The following is a 23,392-nucleotide window of genomic DNA, read 5'->3' as shown; positions in this document are numbered from 1 at the left end:
CTCCTGATATGCACTGAGAAAAACACAATATCACTAATAATTATTCCTGCATGACCCAAATCAAATCACAAAGAAGTATCAGGGAAACCTAATTTGAGAGACATTCTGCAAAATAACTGCCATATACTCTTCAAAATGTCAATTTCATAAGATTCAAAGACAGACTCAGGAACAGTTCCAGATTAAGAGAGACTAAAAAGACATGACAACAAAATGCAATGTATGATCTGGCTTGGGAAGAAATCTCCTATAATAGGAACAAAGAGACAAAGGCTGAGATTGAAACTTAGAATAAGGATTGAGAGAATAAAATCATACCAACACTGAACTCCTCAATTCAGATAACTATACTTTTGTTATGTAAGAAAATACCTTTTTTTGGCTGGGTACTGTGGCTCAAGCGTGTAATCCCAGCACTTTGAGAGGCCAAGGCGGGCGGATCGCAAGGTCAGGAGATCGAGACCATCCTGGCTAACACGGTGAAACCCCGTCTCTACTAAAAATACAAAAAAATTAGCCGCGCATAGTGGCAGGGGCCAGTCCCAGCTACTCGGGAGGCTGAGGCAGGAAAATGGCGTGAACCCGGGAGGTGGAGCTTGCAGTGAGCCTAGATTGCACCACTGCACTCCAGCCTGGGCGACAGAGGAAGAGCCCCTCTCAAAAACAACAAACAAACAAACAAAAAAAACAACCCATTTTCCTAGAACAGAAATAGAAAATTATTTAAAAGTAAAGGGGCATAATACGTCTAAAACTTCACTAATAAATACACACAGACGGACAGACAGACACACACACACACACACACACAAAGATTTAAAAATTAGTGAAACTAGATCAAAAGTATACAGACGGTTTTTGTACTTTTCTTTCAACTTTTCTCTAAGTTTGAAATTATAAAATAATACAAAGGTACTCCAAAACCTCTTCACAGTATAGAGGAAGACGTGATTCACCATCACATAATACCTATTTTAGCGCCTTCTGTGTCTTTGACTTTGGCTCTATGTTTGTTGTTTTTTGGTTTTTTTACTTGGACTTACTTTAATCCATTTTGGTATTCTCCAGAGCTCTCTGACTGAATCTATAACGTTGTCCCTGTGAAAAATTAGATTTTAAGTAATGTTCCTCTAATATCTTTGCATTTCCAGGAATGTGACCTCAGCAATATAGATGAGTGGTGTATTAATTTTTCTTTAAGAATAAAGAATATATGCAAAGATACTCTGAGGTCTTCATTTTTGCCCTAAATAAATATGGATGATTTAACCATCAGCCTTTTTTTTTTTTTAACTTACTGAAAGCCATCATCCATAATCAAGGTCTGGTAATATATGGCATAGAATTTGCAAAACAACAGTAGTCAAACCACGTAATGTGATTACTGTCCAAAACTACCACACAGCAATCAAAAGGTTAAATAGCAGCTCACATAAAAAGTTCCCAGAATTTCATGAATTGGTAAAGGAACTTCCTTTCTGGTGTGTGTCTGCATTTGGTTTGGTTTTTTGTTTTGTTTTCCTAGCCTAAAGAAATCTGAATACACTTCAAGACTGGGGACATGTTTGTAAACAGTACACTGGGAAATCTCTAAGTGAGAAAATCTTCAAAGTTTTGCTGGACTCTTTATTCTTAGCATGTGTTTTTCACTATGTCTAGAGCTCTTGTTAGAACTGGTTTAATGGCTCTTAGTTAGAGCAAAGAAATGATTGCCAGGGGCTTAGAAATCACAGCAGAGTATCGTCCTGTGAATTTTCTTTTTCAACTTTCCTTCTCTCCTCACCAAGGGCTGAAATTGTCTTACCAGGCTGAAATGAGTGTTTGATGATGGCATTAAAAATATATATATATATATATATATATATATATATATATATATATATATATGCATGCTATGGTTATACTTTAAAAATAGTTTTCCGAGATAATGCTTAAGTGGAAAACAATCAGAAAATAAGAGATGTTTCCTCTTACTAGTGGCGCACACAAGATATTAGTAGCGCACACAAGATGCTTCACTGGTTTGCTTGATCGTCCATGAACACTGTGCGCTGTTTGACCTCGTCCCTAATCAAAGCTTCACTTAAAAAAAAAAAAAGTCCAGTCCTCTTCTGATCAATTCTCTAACAGCAGAAAAATTCCAGGATACAGAGAGTCTATGAAGCAAACATGTAATCAACTGTTTACACCCAATTAAGCAGAAAATAAAAACCTTCTATTTGGAAGAAGATTATCTATAAAACACAAATTTGGAAAGAAACAGAAAATGGAAAAGCTAGTTAATGTAGTTCAAAATAGTTTGGGGCCATGGGTAGCTAGGAGGTACATACCCAGCAATATGTCTTGCATCAAACAGCCCTACCTGTTAACTCCCCATCTTCCTGATTGAAGCTTTCTGTCTTTCCACCTTTGACTTCTGCAGATCCTAACAGCAGTGGAGGTGGCAAGGGGCAGGGCGGGGAAGGCATACAGGACAAGTTGTAGACCATCCAACATCAGACATCAATATCCTTCAACACTATCTTACTGACTCCTAGTCACTGATCAGTGCAACGATTTCCCCATGATCTCAAACCAAAATATTCAAAAATACTCTCTACAAAAAGAGGAATATACAAATATAGGTAAGTAAATGAACTACTAGGTAGTCATTGAGACTTGAAAACTCAATGCAGAAAGGTTTACTTTTGTGTGTCTCCTCAAGTAGCCATAAAAAGTAACAGTTTTAACCTCCATCTCCTATAAGAGGAGGGTTATGGTTATAATTTCTCCACCTGAATCCACTTACCCACTTTTCTTCCTCAGAAGGAAGACAGTTCTTCTGATTTGAAATTGGAAGGAAGGATCGAGCAGGAATAGCGAAGTTATCTTCCAAGTTATCTAAACTGTGGGATAACTTTTCCATGATAGGTTCTCCTCTCTCTTTCTCCAAGTAGTACATGACATGTCAGGGGGTGGTGCTCGAGTTGTCCTGGGTCAGTGTCCAGGGTTTCCCTCTCTCCCTGTGTGTGCATGTGGTGTCTTCCATCTACCTGTGGTCCATTCTGAAGGCACCAGAAGTGTAAGAAAATGACTATCAGTGTAGCTGGCTGAATAAGAATCTACCCTACCTACCCCAGCTCTGTATTAAACAGGTCCCAAGATTTAGACCCAACAAAAAGGTGGTGAAAGGTGAGGTGACACATGCCTATAGTCCCAGTTACTCAAGCTGAGGCGGGAACTGCACTTGAGTCCAGGAGTTCAAGTCCCTAGAGAGCTACGATAGTGCCACTGCACTGTAGTCTGGGTGACAGAGCAAGACCCTGTCGAGAGAGGAGAGGAGAGGAGAGGAGAGGAGAGGAGAGGAGAGGAGAGAAGGAAAAGAGTGAGTCTATAAATGCTCCACTGTATTGGTAGATCCAAACTGTGTTGTCCAATATAGCATTACCATTGATAAAATGGATTGTTTGACCTTTAACATCTGGCCTTTATTGCAATTGGTGTAAACATATTGGGGTTAAATGTGAGAGGATAACAACGAAGTAGGATAGCAAGACTGCACATACACGAGTCCTCACGTGAATTAATGTGCATATGTACAAATAGGAAAAGAAATTAAAAAAAAAACACCGACAGTGGCTAGCTCTTGGGGGCAGAAGTATGGATAATCATTTTTGCCTCTGTAATCTTCAGCATATTTTCCAAATATTCTACAGTAGTAAAAAAGAAATCCACACAGGTGGTTTTTTGAAACAAACAGCAGAATAGAGATCTGCAGTCAAAATTCAGAATACATTTTGCCCAGTGTCTGCTTCTAAGCAAACTGTCATAGTTTACCGTTATATGATCTATGAAATTTACAAATTGAGTGAAAAGACAGCAAAAACCTCACCTCTACACCTCATCTACTTGTATTTTCATAAAAGAGCACGATTTTCAAATTGGCAGGGTGCAATAAATGACATTTTACTACAGCCGACAATGAAAGCAAACACCACACATCAAGATTATTTACCAAATGCACACGCAGGACAGATCTGTAAGCGACTCTGGGCAGGAGAACAGGTACTCTGATTAAACCTGAGGCATCCCACTTTCCTTAGCTTTAACCATGTTTTTCCCCTGGGGTTTTCTTTTGCTAGGGGAATTTTAAATCTGTCAGGAATCCAATTTGAAGATCACTCCCCTTAGAGTTTAGTAGTAATGGCAAGTGGAAAACTTGAACCACAATGTAGCCTTGTACCTGCTTTTTCAAATCAAGAAGAGACGAGGCCCTTGAAAGGTAAATAAACTTCATGCCCTTAAAGAGAATTTCAACTTTTCCAAAGAAGAAAAGTTAAAGTATCATTCCAATTATGTGGACATTCTTCACCTTTCTGAACACATCAAACCATTGCCAGCCCGGAAGTCTCTGTGTAAACTGGTCCTCCACCAAGGACAACATCCTACGAAAACAAGCAAAACCTTGTATCTTCTCACTTTTCTTGATTCACCTTAAATGCAATCTTGAAAAGAACTTCCATAGTCTTTTCTTCTAGGCAGGTCAACTCTATCAAAACTTTCCTCCACATGACTTGACACAATTTCTAATCATTTAATGCATTTGTTTGTTTATATAACTTTTGCTATCTTCCCCACCAGACTCAATTCCCTGAGGGCTGACCCAACATATGCTCAGATAACCTTATAATCTTAATATTCATTTCACCGAGCTGGTATACCATGTGCCTTCATATTAAAGTGAAGCACACTAACTTTAACCCAATTACTAAATCACTATTCTGCCACTTACAGCATTTGATTGGAGTAACATAATTATCAATTTAGCAACCATACAGCTAGGTTTCGAAAGGGGGATAAAGAAACGGCTCAGGAGAAAAAATGTAAAACTCCCAAAACAATTTAGCAGAGTCAAGAAGAAAGAGGTGACTATAAATGTCCTAAGTATGTCATGGATTGTCCAATGTCTTCTGCCATTTTAAACCACCAAAAGCTTGTAAGCAAAGAAAACAAGCATACAACTAAGAATGTTGTACACCTGTAATCCCAACACTTCGGAAGGCCAAGGTGGCAGGATTGCTTGAGGCCAGGAGTTCAAGAACAGCCTGAGCAACATGGTAAGACCCTGTCTCTACAAAAAACAAAAACAGAAATTAGCTAGGTATGCTGGTACATGCCTATAGTCTCAACTACTTGAGAGGCTGGGGTGGGGAGGATTGCTTAAGCCTGAGAGGTAGGGGCTACAGTGCGCTGTGATTGTGCCACTGCACTACCAGCCTGGGTGACAGAGTGAGACCTGGCCCCACTCCACCCTGCCTTCCAAAAAAAGAGCGACTTTGACAAGGTAACTATTTCAACCCATAAAAGGTATCTCAAACTTCATGATATGTATTTTTATATTAATCTCATTTCTGGCCCTGTTTTATATCCTAACACACAGACACTATTTTTTTGTCCCCATGGAATTCTTATTGACTCTTACATATTCCTGTAAGCTATTTTAATTCCTTTTCTGGAACGAGAGGAGTTTTGAATTACTAAATAAGGACTCTTACTTTACAGGTATTTTTAAAGGACATCCTAGCAGGAGAAGTTATTCCTCCTGGAACAATCCAGGAAAAGTTTCTGGAGGACAGGACTTTTGCACCGTTAGACCCCAGGTGGAGAACCACAGGGAAGGGCACACAGAAACAAGGAACATCAGGAGCCTCCCCAGTACACAGGTGACAAAGGACCTGATGTATTAATAAGACCATAAGTGGAGGGGTGGTTTGGTCAGAAGACAGTGCATGGTGTTCAGCAAATAATTTTTTCATCATTATTCTAAGCTTCTTCAAGTTACATTGTAAAGATAAACCTTTACAATGATAATTAAAGATAAAAGGAAAAAGTCCCCAAGGACAGACACCCTGGAGGCCCAGCTTGAACACCTCACCTGTGCGAAATGCCACAGTATTGAGCTGTTGGTGACCATCTGTGCATGTCACCAGCCATAATGAGAAGTTTTGAACACAGGGGTTGAAGGTTGCAAAGTGAGCTCTGTCTGCTAAGGAGAAGAGTGGCACTGGGGTAACCATTAAGCATCTAGTAGAATCCCCAGCCAAGATGGCAGAGGCCTGAGATGGCAGCAGAGGAAATGGAAAATGAAGGCTGAATACTGAAGGAGATTTTAGAAGAAGAACAGAGGAGAATGGGGCACCCATTTAATCAGCAAATACCTCCTGTGGGTCTAGTCTTTTTAGAAACACGTATGATACAGAAACAAACAAAAACATGTACTCTGGACTACTCAATCCAATGGGAAAGACAGACAGGTGAACAAGCAGTGGCACAGGGATTCAAATCCAGAGACGAATACTCTGAATTAAGAGGCCAACTAGCATGATGTGCAAGGTATTTAGATATGTAATTCTAAGACATCACTTTTGACATTCATGGAAGTATGCAGGACTTTTGTAGAAAAACACAAATAAGTGAGATGGCACACAGCTTAAATAAAAGCCCTTAGTACCTCATACTAACTCTGCCACCAAGATAGAATTATGACAAATCATCATCTCCAAGATCAATGACTCATCTTTCAAATTTAATTAAGAGCAACTCCATAGTAAATGCTTTCACCTAATTTCAAACTGTGTCATCTCAGAACAGTATAGTTTCAGGGACATTTTGGCTTCCCAAAACAGAGTACAAATCTATTTAACAAACCTAGCCTTTTAGCAAGCAATTCCAGCTGAGCAAGTCCCTTTTCAGAGGAAACAACTTCCCAACTAGTCACTGGAATTGTGTAAACAACACACGCAGTTGACTGACCCACCATTTATAAGTTACCCCAATACTCTTTAACTATATTTCAAAATGCCCAGTGATTTTCCCATTCAGAAAGTTGTTCACAGTTTTTGTTCTCAGAAGATGAAAGACTTGACATGTATTTTCTTTAAAAGGGGGTATACTGTCAGTTGTAATGGCATGTAACTAGGAGTCAATCAAATGTAGAACTCCCTTCGCATAAGCTCTTACCCCCAGCATGAGACTCCATGAGGAAAAGCAGTAGCTCTGCTATACACGGGTCTAGTTATATACATGATGACTGGAACTGAAAGAGTTGGGCAGGACTGTCAGGGGAACCAAAATGTCAATAGTGTTGAGGTTGGGAAACACTATTATGGAGGAATACAGATCTACAAAGTATATCAGAGCCTGTGATTTTCCAACTGTGTCCAATGGTTCTGAAGAGGCTCATCAGGCACCATCTAAGACAATGAAAAGGAAGCCAAGAGGATAGGTATCTGGGCTAAGGTTCTCTCTTCATTTCTATATATAGGAGGGAGAGGAGAGGAAGGAAGTTGTGTAAATGTATTTGAGGAAAGTGTTCTTTACCTAAAATAAATCTAGTCAACTTCATAGAAGCTTTTATCACATTCACTGTATTACTAACTTGCTCATGGAAAACCCAAATGGCTAGAAAAACCTCCTTTAGAAAACAGGAGCTTTCAGATCTGCATGCAGTGACGGTGAAATGGTCTATTTGGGTCCCTAAACAGCGTCCAGCACATCATGAAGGTTCATCGATTGCTGCTGTGTTGCATATTTGTAAACTCACAGTCGTCTGACTCACCACCTGGGATTCTACCTGGGAGGCTGGCAAGGCAGATGTTACCACCACCATTGTTCTCTCTAAGATTAAAACCATTTTATTTTGTCTCTAATACATTTCTCCCCAAGTTGATAGATGCAGTAGTAACCAATAGTAAAACAGTCATGCATACAATTCATCTTCTCACAGAGAATCATGACTTTACAAGCACAGACTTACAATCTATCGGGAAAGAAGAAGGCTGTTTTTAGAGAGCAAGCCCCTTGTAAACCTCACTTTGTTATAAAGTACTGTTCTTTGTATATGATGTTAAATTTGATGTGCTTAAATTTTATTAAACATTTTTATATCTGGAAAAAAAAAACCCTTGTAAAATGATAAGGACAGGGCCACAAATGATATTAAGAATGCCAAGAGGGTAACAAATGAGTGGAATGAAGATTAATAGGGGCTATAACAAAATTTAAAATTAAAAAAAAAAAAAAAAGACAGCATAGCATGGTCTCTCTAAAAGGTCAGTAGAAACTGACCCCATTGGAAATCTCCTGGGATAAAGAGACCCAATACTCTATGACTCCAACTCCCACTACTGGTTACTACTCTGAATGCTAATCCACGTTACCGTGGTCCATAGGACAAATATTTACAACCTAATCAATCAAGTCTCCCCCTCTTCTCCTATATCCCAAGATTTCTGGCTAAACATTTCATGCAATCACGTTCTCATTCTTTTAGCTCTTCTTCGCATTAAATGGCTTCATACCTCATCACCTGGCCATAGGTCTCTCTCTTTTTTTTTTTTTTTTTTTTTTGAGACAGGGTTCGCGTTGTCACCCAAGCTGAGGTGCAGTGGCGCAAACACAGCTGACTGCAGCTTCGACTTTCCAAGCTCAAGCAATCCTCCTTCCTCAGCGCCCCCAACAAGTAGCTGGGACCACAGGCCTACACCAACACACCCAGCTAATTTTTGTATTTTTTGTAGAGATGGGGTTTCACCCTGTTGGCCAGGCTGATCTCAAACTCCTGAGCTCAAGCAATCCACTTGCCTTGGTCTCCCGAAGTTCTGGGATGAGCCATTGTGTGCGGCATGAGCCATTGTGCACGGCCGGTCCGTTGCTAAATGTATTCTAAAATACAAATTCTAGAAAAGGTAGCAGTGGGGAGATAGTCTAAAAATTTTACATTTGTCAATTTCTTAATCTGTCAGCCTCTAGCAAGACTCTAAGTTTCTTATTAACTGTTATTTCCCCAGAACATCAATTATGCCTGGTATTTGATAAGCACTCAATAAATATGTGATAAACAGATGAATTTAAAAATCCCTGCCAGATGTGACATTGTATTACTGGAATCAAAAACTAGTGGTGCTGTCTCATGACAGAATGCAGTAAAGCTGCATACAAAGGGACCTGTCAAAGGAACCATCACTAGGTCATTTTTGAAGTGAATACTTCATGTGAAAAACCATAGGCTGTAGTGAAGACAATCCTTGGTTCAGTTTTTGACATTCTCAGTTGTAAAAGGAATTTTGATTTGTTTCATTATAACGTAAAGGCTTATACAAAGCACCATACGGAGCTGAGCTAGGATAAAAATATACATACAGATAGTAGAAGGATATAAACCCTAAAATCCATTAGGAAAGCAAGAATGTCCACTCTCACTATTCTATTCAACACTGCACTGGAGGTTCTAGTTACAGCAATTAGGCAAGAAAAAATAAAAGGCATATAGATTGCAAAGGAAGAATTAAAACCACCTCTGCTCACAGATGACATGCTCTTGTATATAGAAATTATTTAAAATCTACTAAACAACTATTAGATCCAATAAACTAATTGAGCAAAGTGTCAGAACATATCCCTGTCATTAAGTAACATATGACTGAATAAAATTCAGTTTTTGGATTAATCTCATTTAACCTAAAAATGAGATTAAGAAAACAATTTCGTTTAAAAAAAATCAAAAAGAATAAAATATTTAGGAATAAGTTTATCCCCCAAAATACAAGAATTATACACTGAAAACTACAGAAAACCGTAGAAAGAAAGAAAAGAAGACCTCGATAAATGGGAAAAGACTCCCATGTTCCTATATCAGAAGACTTAAAACTGCTCTAATATTGCAGTATGAGCTGATCGTGAGGACGCAGAGAAAAACACAGCCTAGAAGCATAGCAAGAAATCTGTCTCTCTAGGTTTTTATTGCCTTGGTAATCAACACTCAGGGTGTCTGATCACCATGTAAAGTGAACAGCATTATAGTCCTGCAGCTCACACTGTCCAATGACTTTTCTGAGCAATTTTTACACCTTTGGTTCATTACTTATCAAAAAAGGAAATGGGGTTAATGTCACAGGATTTGTTCCTAGTAAATTTATATTGGTTCTTAATAATCATTACTTTTCAGTTTTTTATACTCGATTAGATTTACCTCCTGTTAATATATAGAAGTACTTACAAAGACCAAGGAATTCTAGTATGCACAGGTTAGTGATCTTATAAAATAAGACGCCTTACTAGTAAAACCATGTCAGTTGATACATGTAATAAACTATCAAAGCATATTAAAATATTCTGTACTCTCATTCCAAAAATATAGGACGGTTCTATTGTGTTTTATACACCTGGGGGCCAGGCACAGTGGCTTATGCCTGTAATGCAAGCACTTTGGGAGGCAGAGGAGGTAGGATGGCTTGAGCCCAGGAGTTCGAGACCAACCCGGGCAACATAGTAAGACCTCATCTCTACTAAAGATAAAAAAATAAAATAAGCTTAGCCAGGCATGGTAGCACACGCCTGTAGTCCCAGTTACTTGGGAGACAGAGGCAGGAGGATGGCTTGAGCCTAGGAGGTTGAGGCTACAGTGAGCCCTGATCCTGCCACTACACTGCAACCTGGGTGACAGAGCGATACCCTACCTGTCTTAATGAAAAACAAAAACAAACCAAAAACAACCTGGGGAGATGTCAAGTCAAGCCAAAATAGAAATGCAAACTAAAAACAAACAACAACAACAAAACACTGGTGTTCACATTTTGTATTGCTTATCCTGACTCAGAAATCAATAATCAAACAGAACCCAAAAGAAGAGATAGAAGAATTAAATCCTACCAGCTCATATAAATCCTTCCAGCTCATATTTACTATCGCTATTGTGTGGGGAAGGCACAGCAGGGCAAATGGACCTATCACTCAGAACGCTTGTCAAGACTTCGGAAATTAATTTCTTTCCATGTGACATAGCAAATTCCCCAATATTAATAAAAGGCTCCATCAATAAAACAGAAAATGTTAAGTGTTTCAGTGAGTTTGGGTGATAAATGTCAGAATATGAACAACAATTCTGATACCCTAACACTTCTTGAGAAAATTATCTCATACAAAAAATCCCAAATTTAACAACAGAGATCTCAGGAAGTACTTCTCTCACTTAATGAGCCTTGGCAGCATTTCAAATTAAACACTCTATTGTGCGAGGAGCTAATTATGTTAAGATTAAACTCAAAGAATGATAGGGACATTTACTGTACTCTGAGTAATTATGCTGGCCTTCTATATTCAAAAATACAACTTCTTCTTCCTAATTCTGAAAGGTCGCTAACCCAATATATTCCACAACACACACAGTTTGTTCAGAGTTTAAATACCTTGGAAGCAAAGAGAAGACTTTTTTCTTTTACCAACTAGCATGCATTTTACATTTTCTCCTTTTTACTGTCATCATTTTCATTATTTCAGTCTCATTGCATCATAAGCTTCTGCATGCAAACACGTTAACATCCCATGAGCATGTTTCCGATGTGCAAGTAAGCAGTTACTACTTTTTCTACCAGGGTATACACAAAAACTATTGAGATTTAATCTGTTTAGTATGCTTGCATTAACCACTCAATTATGATAAATTTCTGTGAATTGGTTGGTCAGCTGTTTCCCCCGCTTTCTGGTCTAATGATAAACTACACAACAACCACATGTAGGCACCTTTGTGGCTTCTCTGTGGTTTACTTATTAACCCCCTGCCGGTAACCTAAGCATTTGCACCAGAGTTAAAAACCCTAAATTAACTTCTGAGGGCCAGGCCAGGCCAGCATTCTCAAACATCTCTCCAATGCTGCAGAACATCCACGTTCTTAATACTTAGAAAATAATAAATATCCAAATGCTAAGGCATGTTTCTGTGCTCCCTGCATAACCAAAGTAGTCCAAAATATGTAAATAAAAGCCAGAAACTGTGGACTTTAAAATATAATTTTTCTTCCCTGCAAATTAAAATGCAAAATATTCTTATATTTAGACCCAGATATTTAATGTCTGGAGTGCTACACTTTAGAAACAAAAGAATTAAAAAGGAATGCAAAGATTGCACAAGGCAAAGACCTCAAATCCTCCTGACACAAAAATGTAAGCCTGAATTACAGGCGGTATTTCTTAATGTCAAAAAAAAAAGGAATAAAGGGAGAACCACAAGAACGAGAATGTTCAACACTTTATGACCTCACTCTGTTACAGACTACTTAAGTTAAGTAAATACATTATGACAAATTCTAAAAATGTAATATTTTAGGCAGATAAATGATATTAGGCAGAAGTATATATATTGGGAAAAAAACATGAATTACTATTAAGTGGTAGTGGGGAAGGAGGAGGAAGCTAGTTATATTAATAGAAGGGCTTATACCTTTTTGTATTAGAGACAGGGTTTCACCATGTTGGCCAGGCTGGTCTCAAACTCCCGACTTCAGGGGATCCGCCCGCCTCGGCCTCCCAAAGTGCTGGGATTACAGATGTGAGCCACCACGCCCAGCCCGGAAAAGAAATTGTTTAACCTAGTTTTGTTATGCATACTAATTATTACTTTTTAAAAAAATAAGTTTGTATTGAGAGAAGTTTAGATTTATAGAGAAGTTGCTGCTAAAACAGTACAAAGAATATATCCCTGACCCAGCTTCCCCAAATGTTGACTGTGGCCCACAGCCACAGTACAATGATCAAAACCAGGAAATTGACACGAGCGTGACAGAATTAACTCATCAACTGAATGAAAAATCTTATTTGAATTGTACTAGATTTTCCCTTAATGTCCTTTTTCAATTCCAGCATCTTATCCAGGATCCCACATTACATTTAGCTGTTATTTCTCCTTAGCCCTCCCCAATCTATAAAAAGTTCTTCAGTCTCCTGTCTCTCATGATCTTGACAAAGGAGTACAGATCACTTACTGTAGAATATCCCTCAATCTGAAGGTGTATGATGTCATCCCAGGACTGGAGTACAGTTATGCATTTTTGTCAAGAATACTACAGAAATCATGTCATGTCCCTTCTAATTACTACTTTTAATTGTAAACACTTCTTTCACTGACTGATATTGGGCTACCAAATGCTCAAATCTTGAAGGCTTTATTTGTAATGTGCTTTTATTTATTTATTTATTTAAAGAAAGACTGCCTTTAGTCAATCATGACTAAGATTTTCAAAAGTAGAGACTAGATTTCAGTTATAAGGTTTCCCCAGTGGGAAACCAGTGAGGCCCAGTTGGGTCCCTCACCTTGGATTCTTATCAAAGTGGGTCAAAAATGAAACGGAGTGCAGCCTATACCTCATCTTCATTCCAGGCAGAAGGTGGGAGTAAAAAGAATATATATCCAACTGCCTCTGCAAGCTTTGTTCTCCAGTTACATCTCTGCGAGAAATGATGGCACTCTTAAAAGGAACAGAAAGACCTCGGCAAAGGCATGAAGACGGCCTATAAAGTGTGTGCTGTGTGTGTGTGTGCCGTGTGTGTGTGCGCATGTGCATGTGTGTGTATAGCTGAGGCATGACTCCAAGCAGACAGCCCTCCATCTGATAGATGTCTGAATCGTCAGTTACCCAAGTCCCAAAATATAAATATAGAGCAAACATCTCTTTCAAGCCGCTAGGTACTCTTCATTTTGAAACACTTCCCAGTTTCCCTTCTGTATAAGGATGGCACTTAACTGATTAATCGAGTAGCCTGTATAATTAACATTAAAAACATTATGATTCCTTTAAAAGAGAATCCTCTCTCTCTCAAAACGTTTTGCCTTGCAGATGGAATCAAGTACTTAGAACACCATCCCCAGGCAGCACCAGGGCCCTCCTGAAACAGCTCCTTGAATGGTATCAACAGGAAATACCTCCTCAAGTGTCAGTTGCAGAACCAGAATGTGGCCTAAAAGAAGGCTGAAGCCTCTATTAACACTCTTGATATTCTAAACAGGTCTGTGCTTTGACATATGACTTCTACACACTGAAAAGAGAAGAAACTGAGAAGAGGGATCAAAAGCTAGAGCAAAAGATTTCCTGAGATCTTTATCCACTCTGAATCTCCCTTCTTTAGATAAGAGCTCGCGGCAGAGGAAAGAGAAGAGTGAGAATTTCTAAAGAAAACAGCTTTCTGTTCCTGCTCATCCCATATACCTGATGGAGTTGTAGACTACGTGGGACTTAACAGGTTTGCTTCTCTTCTTCCCTGCTTTGTCTCCAGCTCTACATAAGACAAATTTTGTGATGCCAGATTTACTCAACGCTGGAGCAATGCCATGGTGAAGAAGTCTGGGAATTCAGTTACGGGTATGGACTTACATCTCTCTCATTAAATTAGGGCAGGGCGTCTCATCCTCAGCTCTGTTAATATTTTGGGCTAGATCATTCTTTGTTGTGGAGGACTGTCCTGTGCTTTATGTTTATGGCGTCCCTGGACTCCTCCCACTAAATGTTAACAGCACACTCCCCCTGTCCCAAAGCCTAACAATCAAAATTGCCTTCAAACATTGCCAAATATTTCCAGGGAGAAGGAGACCCATTCCTGGCTGGGAATCAACCACCTCTGTCCTAGATCAATTTCTACGAATTTAAAGTGGTTGAGTATCTGTGTTTATGTGTAGAAAAAAAAAAGGAAGAAAGAAAAAGGAATGGTGGGTATTTAAGTGAAAAGAAAGACATTTACCTCTCTGCTTTAAAATGTACCCCATTCCAGTGGAAGTCACAAATTTGAAATTATCCTGGTGCCTTTAAATACCCAATTTATCATCTCCACTGAAAAGACATTTGCATTGGCTAGATAAATTGTGAGGATAAACATATTTGGTAAGACGTGGTCAACCATGAGAGCATGAGCCTCCCAAAGGAGGTTGAGGGGATCCAGCAAATGCTTTTAGGCCACCCTAAAGTCTCAAGGTACAAAAGAGAAAGAAAACAGGGGTAGTGCATGCTGATTATACTGTCTGGGGAGGGCTCAACCTGGAAAGATAAGGTGAGGATCGAGGAAATGGTGCAGGCTCAATGGGATGCACTCTGGATTCTTGTGCCCCTGAGAGTCTGATTTGAGTGTCTTTTACCAGGATCCCATAATTAACTGCATTTTACAGTTCCTTCTTCCATATCAAACTATAATAATACAAAAACAGCTAACATTTATTCTGTGTCAAACACTGTCCAGTACTTGAATCAACAGGAATAATCCAATTCAATCCTCACTGCTCTACTGAACAATTTTAAAGGGGAAGCAACAGGGCAGGAGGAGGTTGAGTCTCTTGCCTCCTATCTCACAGCCAGTAAGAATGAGAGCTGGGACATAAACCCAGAAAGGCAGCCTCAGAGCCCTGATCACTTAGCTAATCATTTATACTGCGTCAACTGAACTTAATCATCATTCAGTTTTTCTTATACCAGAGAGCCAATGGTAAAAAGTAAATAAAAAATAAGCAGAGAATACAGTGGACAAAAACTACCCCTCCCCCCAGTTACCCAATTCCACACATTACCAATTTATTTTCCTCAAAAATACAATATTGTATAACATTAAAAATAAATGCCAAAGGCAACCCATAACCCATCCTATAGTATTTTTCTTTTCCGACAGCTATCTAAAAGTAAGAAATGCTGCAAATGCCCAGAAACAACAGAATCAACAGCCATACAGTCACTACTATAGTTAAAATAAGATTCCGTATTTTGCTATGTCTATATTTTTTTGCTACTATATTTAAAATATGATTTCATATTTTTCTATTTCTGTATCAGATGTTTTAAGATATGACATCTTATGAGTAAAGCTAAAAATGTATCCACACTGATCTGCTGGTCCTATTCATTCATTTTAGCAGTTGCATGGTCTCCCAAGGTATGAATAAACAACATCAAATTCACCTACTGCCTGGTGAATGTCATTGAGGCTGTAGCCAGTTTTCCGCTTACAAACTGCTGTTACAAATATTCTTGTACATGTCACCCAGGTTACATGTATCAAAATTTCTCTAAATTACAAATGAAATTACCTGATCCTAACAGCATAGAAATCTTCAACTTTACTGAATATATACAGCTCCCCAAAATGGTTCTACCAATTTACTCCTGCCCAATGGCTCTTCAAAAAAAAAGAAAAAGAATCACATTTTTTACAGCTCGAATTCATTCTTACACTCTGATGGGCCTGACCCACAATCAACTCTTTAGATTTTTTTCTAGATGGATCTCAAAGGTAAAAGGTAATTTCAAGGAGAGCATCTTCCTATCCAAATGTAGTGGTTTTAAAAGGCTGGGTATTTTACTTTGATGGCCATGACTTCTGGATTCTTCTGGGAATATATGGACTGGACATGTAAAAGAGTCATATCCAAACTGGCCCAAAGATTGCTTACCTTTCAAAAAGAGCACACTAGCACAGCTCACTAAGGCAGATGGCTTCAAAAGCTCCCTAAGTGAAATTGCTGGAGATTTCTAAGAGAAATCCCTAAAACAGAACTGAAACCCTTTCCATATACATGACAATACACTGTACAAATGGTCATGAAAAAAAAAATTGTGATTAATATTGAGTGAGCACTTACTCAGGGTCAGGCAACACAAGCACTACCTATCTCATCTTATTGCATCGGCAAGCCATTCTCAGAGTTATGATTCCCACTTTACAGATGGGGAATTTGGAGTTCGGCCAGACAAAATAAGTAACTTGTCCAAGATCACAAGTTACTGAGCCTAAGAGCCAAACACTAGAACCAATTCATTCTGACTCCAGAACCAACGTTCTTTCTCCTTTTCATTTTTGAAGAGGCTGGTTCTCACTATGTTGCCCAGACTGGAGTGAAGTGACTATTCACAGGTGTAATCACAGCACACTCAAGTGATCCCCTGCCTCAGCCTCCTGAGTTGCCAGAACTCCAGGTGCCCAACGCTGCACCTGGCCAGAATCAACATTCTTATTGTCTTTCAAACAGTAGCTGTAGTAGAGAAGCTATCCTTCAGTGAAAGTACACGTTACTTTCAACAGGAAATATATTTATTTGGCCCAATCCTTTCCATAACAAGACATTTTGAAAAGTGTTTCCCTTACTGAGATTTCAACAGTCAATGGAATATATGAGAAGAGCTCTGTTATCCTAGAAGGAAGCACTGCTGCACTGGTTAAAAAGAATAGAGCAAGCAGGTATTTCAGCTGTTGAGAGCTTTGGCTCTGAGCTTGGCTTGGAGAAGGACATTCAGCTCTAAAACACAGATCCCTGGATTCTTAATGCCTACGGCCTTAAATGTTAAATAGTCTTGCTGAGAAACACTAAGAAAGAGAGAGGGAGCAACTGATCTCCTTCAAAAGGGAAGGCAAGCAGGCCGTGTTGCCTGGGAGCTGCAATTCCAAAAGGCCTTGTGATTTCCAGGTCCTGCTTCCCTGACTACCAAAGCTACAACCCCCAAATCAAAGGGAAGTGGAACCCAAGATGAGTTCTAAAATATAAAACTAAAGAGAAACAAATCTTCACATCAACAAAACTTTCCTCTTTTCATGGAAGCTACTACAGATTTTGTCATACTACATCAACCATGATCCAACAGGGCCCAGAGGATGAACTTTTTCCTATTAGAATCAAACACTCAGGGAGAGTCAGCAGTTTTATGCTTTTAAACAGTAAAAGGGGCCGGGTGTGGTAGCTCATGCCTATAATCCCAGCATGTTGAGAAGCCAAGGTGGGAGGATTGCTTGAGACCAGTAAGACCCCATCTCTCCAAAAAAAAATTTTTTTTAATTAGCTAGATGTGGTGACATGTGCCTTGGTCCCATCTACTTGGGAGGCTGAGGCAGAATGAACACCTGAGCCCAGGAGGTTGAGGCTGCAGTGAGTTGTGACTGTGCCACTGCACTCCAGCCTGGGTGACAGACCAAGACCCTGTCTTAAAATATAACATTAACATAACATAACATAACATAACATAACATAACATAACATAACATAACATAACATAACATAACATAACACAACACAACACAACACAACACAACACAACACAACATAACATAACATAACATAACAGGGAATGTAGGGAAAATGGAATACTGAATGGGACCTTCAAGACACTCTGGTGATTGCCCCTTCATTCTAGAAAAAAGAAACTGAGGCACAGAGAGACTGACAGTCTAAACAAACAATTCTCATCAGTTTTTCCTGAAACCCCTGATTCGAATATTCATCTGTAAGTAACTCACTCTACCCCGTTGCTGATTTCTAAGCAGTGATTTCTGAAAATTTCTTAGTAATATTCATTAATTGAGCTTTTAGTAAATGACCTAATTTATTTCATAGAAAGAAGCCTAGTATGACGCAGTTATTATTACTATGAATGCCTCTATTTTATTCAACATTTCAATAGAACTTTACCATTTATACAGACAACACTTACACAGATTTTGTTACCAATTGATGCTCAAAACTGGGAGGTAATCATTACTTTTCCTACCCAACAATGGGTGCGATGGCTCATGCCTGTAATCCCAGCACTTTGGGAGGCTGAGGTGGGTGGATCACCTGAGCTCAGGAGTTCGAGGCCAGCCTGGCCAACATGGTTAAAAAAAAAAAAAAAAAATCCATCTCTACTAAAAATACAAAAAAAAAAAAAAAATCCATCTCTACTAAAAATACAAAAAAAAAAAAAAAAAAAAAAAAAAGCTAGGTGTGGTAGTTCATGCCTGTAGTCCCAGCTACTCGGGAGGCTGAGGCAGGAGAATTGCTTGAACCCAGGAGGTGGAGGCTGCACTGGAGCTGAGATCATACCATTGCACTCCTGGGCAACAGAGTGAGACTCCGTCTCCAAAAAAAAAAAAAAAGAATAATTTTTCCTAGTTGACAATGGAAATATTAGCATCAGGAAAGTATGTTATGTACCAAAACTTATTTTTATATAGTTCCCCAACAGAAAAGCTAGGAAACATAATATTTTATGCAATAGCATCTATGTACCCTTTTGTCCTAAGGTCACAGAAACAATAATGCTGGGCATTTCATACCACTATAGACTAAATGTTTGTGTCCTCCCACAATTCATATCTTGAAACTTAAGCCCCAAGGTGATGGTACTGGGAGGTGAAGACTTTGCCAAGTGAAAGCTCAATATGCAGTGATGAGGACAAGTCGAAGGGGGAGGGGACGTAGGGTGATGGGGTCATGGTGGCACTAGGTATATAGGATGAGAGTCGAATCACAAGAAGGAGCATTTAGGTGACGTAGTCAAGAATGGCACCCAGGACCAGGTGCAGTGGCTCACACTTGTGATCCCAACAGTTTGGGAGACTTAGGCGGGTGGATCGCTTAAGCCCAGAAGGTTGAGACCAGCCTGGGAAACATGGGAAAACCTCATCTCTGCAAAACAAAACAAAACAAAACAAAACAAAACAAAAAATTAGCCAGGCAGGGTGGCGTGCACCTACGGTCCCAGATACTCGGGAGGCTGAGGGGGGAAGATCAGTTAAGCCCAGGAGGTTGAGGCTGCAGTAAGCCATGAATGCACCACTGCACTCCCGCCTGGGTGACAGAGTAAGACTCTGTCAGACAAAGAGGTGAAGGGAGGGGAGGGGAGGGGAGGGGAGGGTTAATGAATGGCATCCAGGGATTCTGGACAAAGCACAGACAACTTTGGAATGTTCGCAGGGTAAACACATTTCAGAAGCCACTGGAGCCATCTTGAAACGTGCAACCACCTGACTGAAAAGCAATATTCATTCTGGGTCATGACATTTTTTAAGTCATGCAGCCAAAATAATGAAACATGACTTTATTTCTCACAAAGATCTGCACACAGTTTGCAGGCAAGATGGTCTTTCATTCTGTACTTCTTACAAAAGAGGGCCACACCCAAGGATTTGTACCAAGATGCTCTTGAGCCAAAATAGAAATTAAATTATAAATTTCATGGAAATGCTTCAGAGAAGTTGGCAATCTCTAGGTAGAGGGAACTGGATGCTGCTCCCTATTTGAATCCAGTCCCTCCAGGTCAGCCTCATTGATGGAGATGCAACTGATGGTAAAGCTGGACCAATAGCAAATCCCTCAGAGTTAAAATAAAATCAGCAGGAGATTAGACCATGGGGAACGGCAAGTGAAATGCCGTCCTCCTAATGCTTTATGAAGCGTGGAAACTATGGAGAAGACCAGACTCACTCACCAAAAAAAAGTTATTAGAAGTGACTAGTCCAAAGACCAGAAAATCATACAATTCTACCAAAATCTTCAAAAAAAAAAAACACCCTTCTGAACAAGTCATCAAATCAGACCTTGTTATAAATGCGCACATTGAATTAAACATGAGACCATTTTAGATACAAAGACCAATGCCCAAAGGAGTTCCAAATAACATGAGAACTAGAGAGCCTGGACTTAGAAACCTTGAGAACTGTAAGAAACAGCATTTGACCACAACCCTGGAGAGTTTGCTTTATTTGTGCTGACTCAAACAAAAAAACTGTCCCATTACACAGAATTTTCTGTAACAAATTACCCTAAGGGTGATTCTATAAGCCAAGTGTGTTCACTTTGCCCAACAAAACCTTTAAAATCAAACTCACACAAGGAAAATTTAAAAGGAGGAAGAAAAGAGATTGGAAGGGGGAAAGTGAACAAGGAAAGGCAGAGGGAAAGAAGGCAGAGTGTTGAATGCCCAGGCTCAAGGCAGGTTGGACGCAGTGCATCAGGCAGCAGAGAGGCCAGGGAGCTGGGGGCAGGGGGCAGAGGGCAGGAAAATGAACTCAATGAGATAACCAGGGACAAGATGATATGATGCCTTTCTTCTAGCACTCAGGGATTTCGGAATCAAATCTGAGAGAGGCAAGAAATTGTGAGAAGATTGTAAGCAGAGATGAAACAGAAAAGATACCTGAAACTCTGATCTTGGAGCTTTTCTTCCGTGATATAAGATCTAACAGGGTCCACTGCATAGAGCTGTTGTGAGGATGACAAGAGATCACTAACACTGTAAACTCTCAATCCACAGCCTTCACATAACTGGGTCTCAAGACATGCCCTCTCCCTTCTCCTCTGCACTTCTTCATGTGTTTAAGGGAGAATGTGGGGAGGGGCTTATGTAAAATAGGGGACTACAGGTATCAGACTGAACCAATCCTACTTGTTGAACTTTATCTACTGGATGGCCAAGGTTATAAGGAACACCACCACCTTCTCATGCCCTGGGTGCCCTAGAGAAAGGTAAGCAGACCAAGGTCTCAGACTCCCTGTGGAAGAAAGACCACTGCACCCAAGCTTTACAAACGCATCCCTGGGCCCCACACACCACATGAGACTCTAGGCTTCCCTCACCTTACAAAGGTTAAGGTTGTCTCTGCAAACTCAATTTTGAGTTCCGTAAGGGACGTCCTATGTCCTCTATCTCTGAAACTGCATTGCTAACTGGATGCAAGATAAACGCTCAGAGTATCTATAAAGAAGAGAGGGAGAGAGGGCTGCAGAGATGGAAAAGAGGTACAGGGTGAAGAGCTTAGATTGTCAAGAGATAGGAACCATGCCCTGAGATCCCATTTTTGCCACTCACTAAAATGTGTGACTTTGGGTACTTCATTTTACCTTTCTGGGCCCTCAACTCCCCTATTTTTTCAAGTTAATAAATGTGAAGGGCTTAATGCATGCCTCAAAAAAAGCAATGAATCAATAAAGTTATTATTATTGTTAAATAAAAAGGAGGGAAAGAAGAGAGGGGAAAAGACTCGCCTTGGAATGGTGATCAACTTCAGCTACACACACATAGCCTCTTACACTAACCAGTTACCCAGCGGGTACCTCCTTCCCTTGGCTTTTTGCTTCCATCAATTACCCATTTAACCATTCTCACTTCAGGCAACCAAGTCAGCTCAATGGGGGCTGCTGGTATGGCTCCACATGCAATTGCTCCTTGGCCATGGAGGAGGGCCGCAGGTTCTGGGAGGCAGGGGGTATGATGCCATGCCAGGCACCCAGTGGGGCCGCCATCAATGCCTGCTGTTGCTGAATCATAGCGACAAGAAAACTCTGTTCTGCTCCAGAAGGAACTTCTGGGGCCAGGAGGCCATCTGGTACTGATCCCTTTCCAATCCCGGGCAATCTGATGAAGAGCTACTCCTGGCTGGAAGGATGATGTTCTACCCCGCCAACAAGAAGCCTTGAAACTCCTGTCAAACCCTTCCCTGAACTCAGGCTCTAGCACTCCTGTGGTCTCTCTTCCGTTGCAAACACAGACGTTGTTAGAATAAAAGCAACCACTTTGGCCGGGTGCGGTGTCACATGCCTGTAATCCCAGCACTTTGGCAGGCCAAGGCGGATGGATCACGAGTTCAAGAGATCGAGACCATCCTGGCCAACATGGTGAAATGCCATCTCTACTAAAAATACAAAAATTAGCTGGGCGTGGTGGCACATGCCTGTAGTCCCAGCTACTCCAGAGGCGGAGGCAGGAGAATCGCTTGAACTAGGGAGGCAAAGTTGCAGTGAGCTGATACCGTACCACTGCACTCCAGCCTGGTGACAGACCAAGACTCCGTCTCAAAAAAAAAAAAAAAAAAAAAAAAAAAAAAAAAAAAGAGCAAACAGTTCCAAAGCCAGGGAAGCTCTGTGTAAGTGTAATTTTTACAGAAAGGAGCTATGCTCACCTCTCTCCCCCACATCCTAGCCAGGTATTCTAGAATGGGGACTTGCCCTTGCTTTCTCCTTCTGGTTCTCAGCCACAGCCTCAACCCTACTCCAGCCTGCACAGTGGGGTCAGAAGTTTCCAGTTCCTGATTAGCACCACCTCTGGCCCTTCTGTAAGCCTAGAGGTAGAGAAAATGATCATGGTCACGTGCAAACAGAAGCATGTGTTACTGTGGGCAAAATGAAATCATCTGTATCAGGATGGGAAAAGGGAAGTGCAGGTATTTAATATGCAGCGTAATATAATAAAATTATACCTGTGCAAGTAGTTGAGACAGCATCCCTGAAGAGTGAACAGATCAATGTCAGCCCATTCCTGGATGCAGGAGGACCGGTGCTGCATGACTTATCCATATCACATATGAGCAGGCACAGAGGAGTTCCCTGGTTCAATTATAAAACTGTCCCACAGGAACCTTCCCAGTATCCTCACGCTGGCCCTTCAAAGGAGTTAAAGATTCTATCTGTAAACAAGCCAGAGCCCCTCTGACTGGCAAAGGAAGCCTGTCTCAGCATTGACTTCACTATGCAGACTTGTGGCAACAGCCTATAGGATGATAATTAGATGTCAGTGCCTTTTGAGCAACTGCTGAATCTCAGCATTTTCTAGAAGAGTACAGATGCAGCTGGCAGAAAATAAAGAGCAGCACAACACCACAGGCCTTCTGGGGTTGCTCCGGCTGTGTGGCCATCAGAGGAAATACATTTTCTAGAGCAGTGGGCTAGGAAATCTGAAGTTATTTATGAAGAGAGGAAGAAGAACTTGGCCAATGAGAAGACAAAGGGGCTCTGTCATGCTCATGTGGTGTAAGCAGCTTGCTGCCACCTGCCCTGTCGGCAGGTGGAGAGACCAAG

General features: G+C 40.3%; 1 protein-coding gene across 7 annotated transcripts in view, besides 4 other annotated features; it reads right to left on the bottom strand.

Moving 5' to 3' along the window:
- Positions 1 to 23,392, bottom strand: part of PTPRG (protein tyrosine phosphatase receptor type G) — a 736,039-nt gene that overhangs the window by 408,599 nt on the left and 304,048 nt on the right. The window lies entirely within an intron of this gene.
- Positions 13,430 to 14,136: an enhancer, noted in NCBI's record as "OCT4-NANOG-H3K27ac hESC enhancer chr3:61860549-61861255 (GRCh37/hg19 assembly coordinates)". NCBI's record gives its function as "activates a minimal SCP1, AML or CMV promoter by ChIP-STARR-seq in naive H9 embryonic stem cells {active_cell/tissue: H9 hESC(naive)}" and the evidence as "EXISTENCE:reporter gene assay evidence [ECO:0000049][PMID:30033119]".
- Positions 16,442 to 17,226: an enhancer, noted in NCBI's record as "OCT4-NANOG-H3K27ac hESC enhancer chr3:61857459-61858243 (GRCh37/hg19 assembly coordinates)". NCBI's record gives its function as "activates a minimal SCP1, AML or CMV promoter by ChIP-STARR-seq in naive H9 embryonic stem cells {active_cell/tissue: H9 hESC(naive)}" and the evidence as "EXISTENCE:reporter gene assay evidence [ECO:0000049][PMID:30033119]".
- Positions 21,304 to 21,804: an enhancer, noted in NCBI's record as "H3K27ac-H3K4me1 hESC enhancer chr3:61852881-61853381 (GRCh37/hg19 assembly coordinates)". NCBI's record gives its function as "activates a minimal SCP1, AML or CMV promoter by ChIP-STARR-seq in primed H9 embryonic stem cells {active_cell/tissue: H9 hESC(primed)}" and the evidence as "EXISTENCE:reporter gene assay evidence [ECO:0000049][PMID:30033119]".
- Positions 21,805 to 22,307: an enhancer, noted in NCBI's record as "H3K27ac-H3K4me1 hESC enhancer chr3:61852378-61852880 (GRCh37/hg19 assembly coordinates)". NCBI's record gives its function as "activates a minimal SCP1, AML or CMV promoter by ChIP-STARR-seq in primed H9 embryonic stem cells {active_cell/tissue: H9 hESC(primed)}" and the evidence as "EXISTENCE:reporter gene assay evidence [ECO:0000049][PMID:30033119]".

Source organism: Homo sapiens, chromosome 3 (genome assembly GCF_000001405.40).
Source record: "Homo sapiens chromosome 3, GRCh38.p14 Primary Assembly".
Classification (NCBI taxonomy): Eukaryota; Metazoa; Chordata; class Mammalia; order Primates; family Hominidae; genus Homo; species Homo sapiens.
This window is presented reverse-complemented; position numbering and strand designations above follow the sequence as displayed.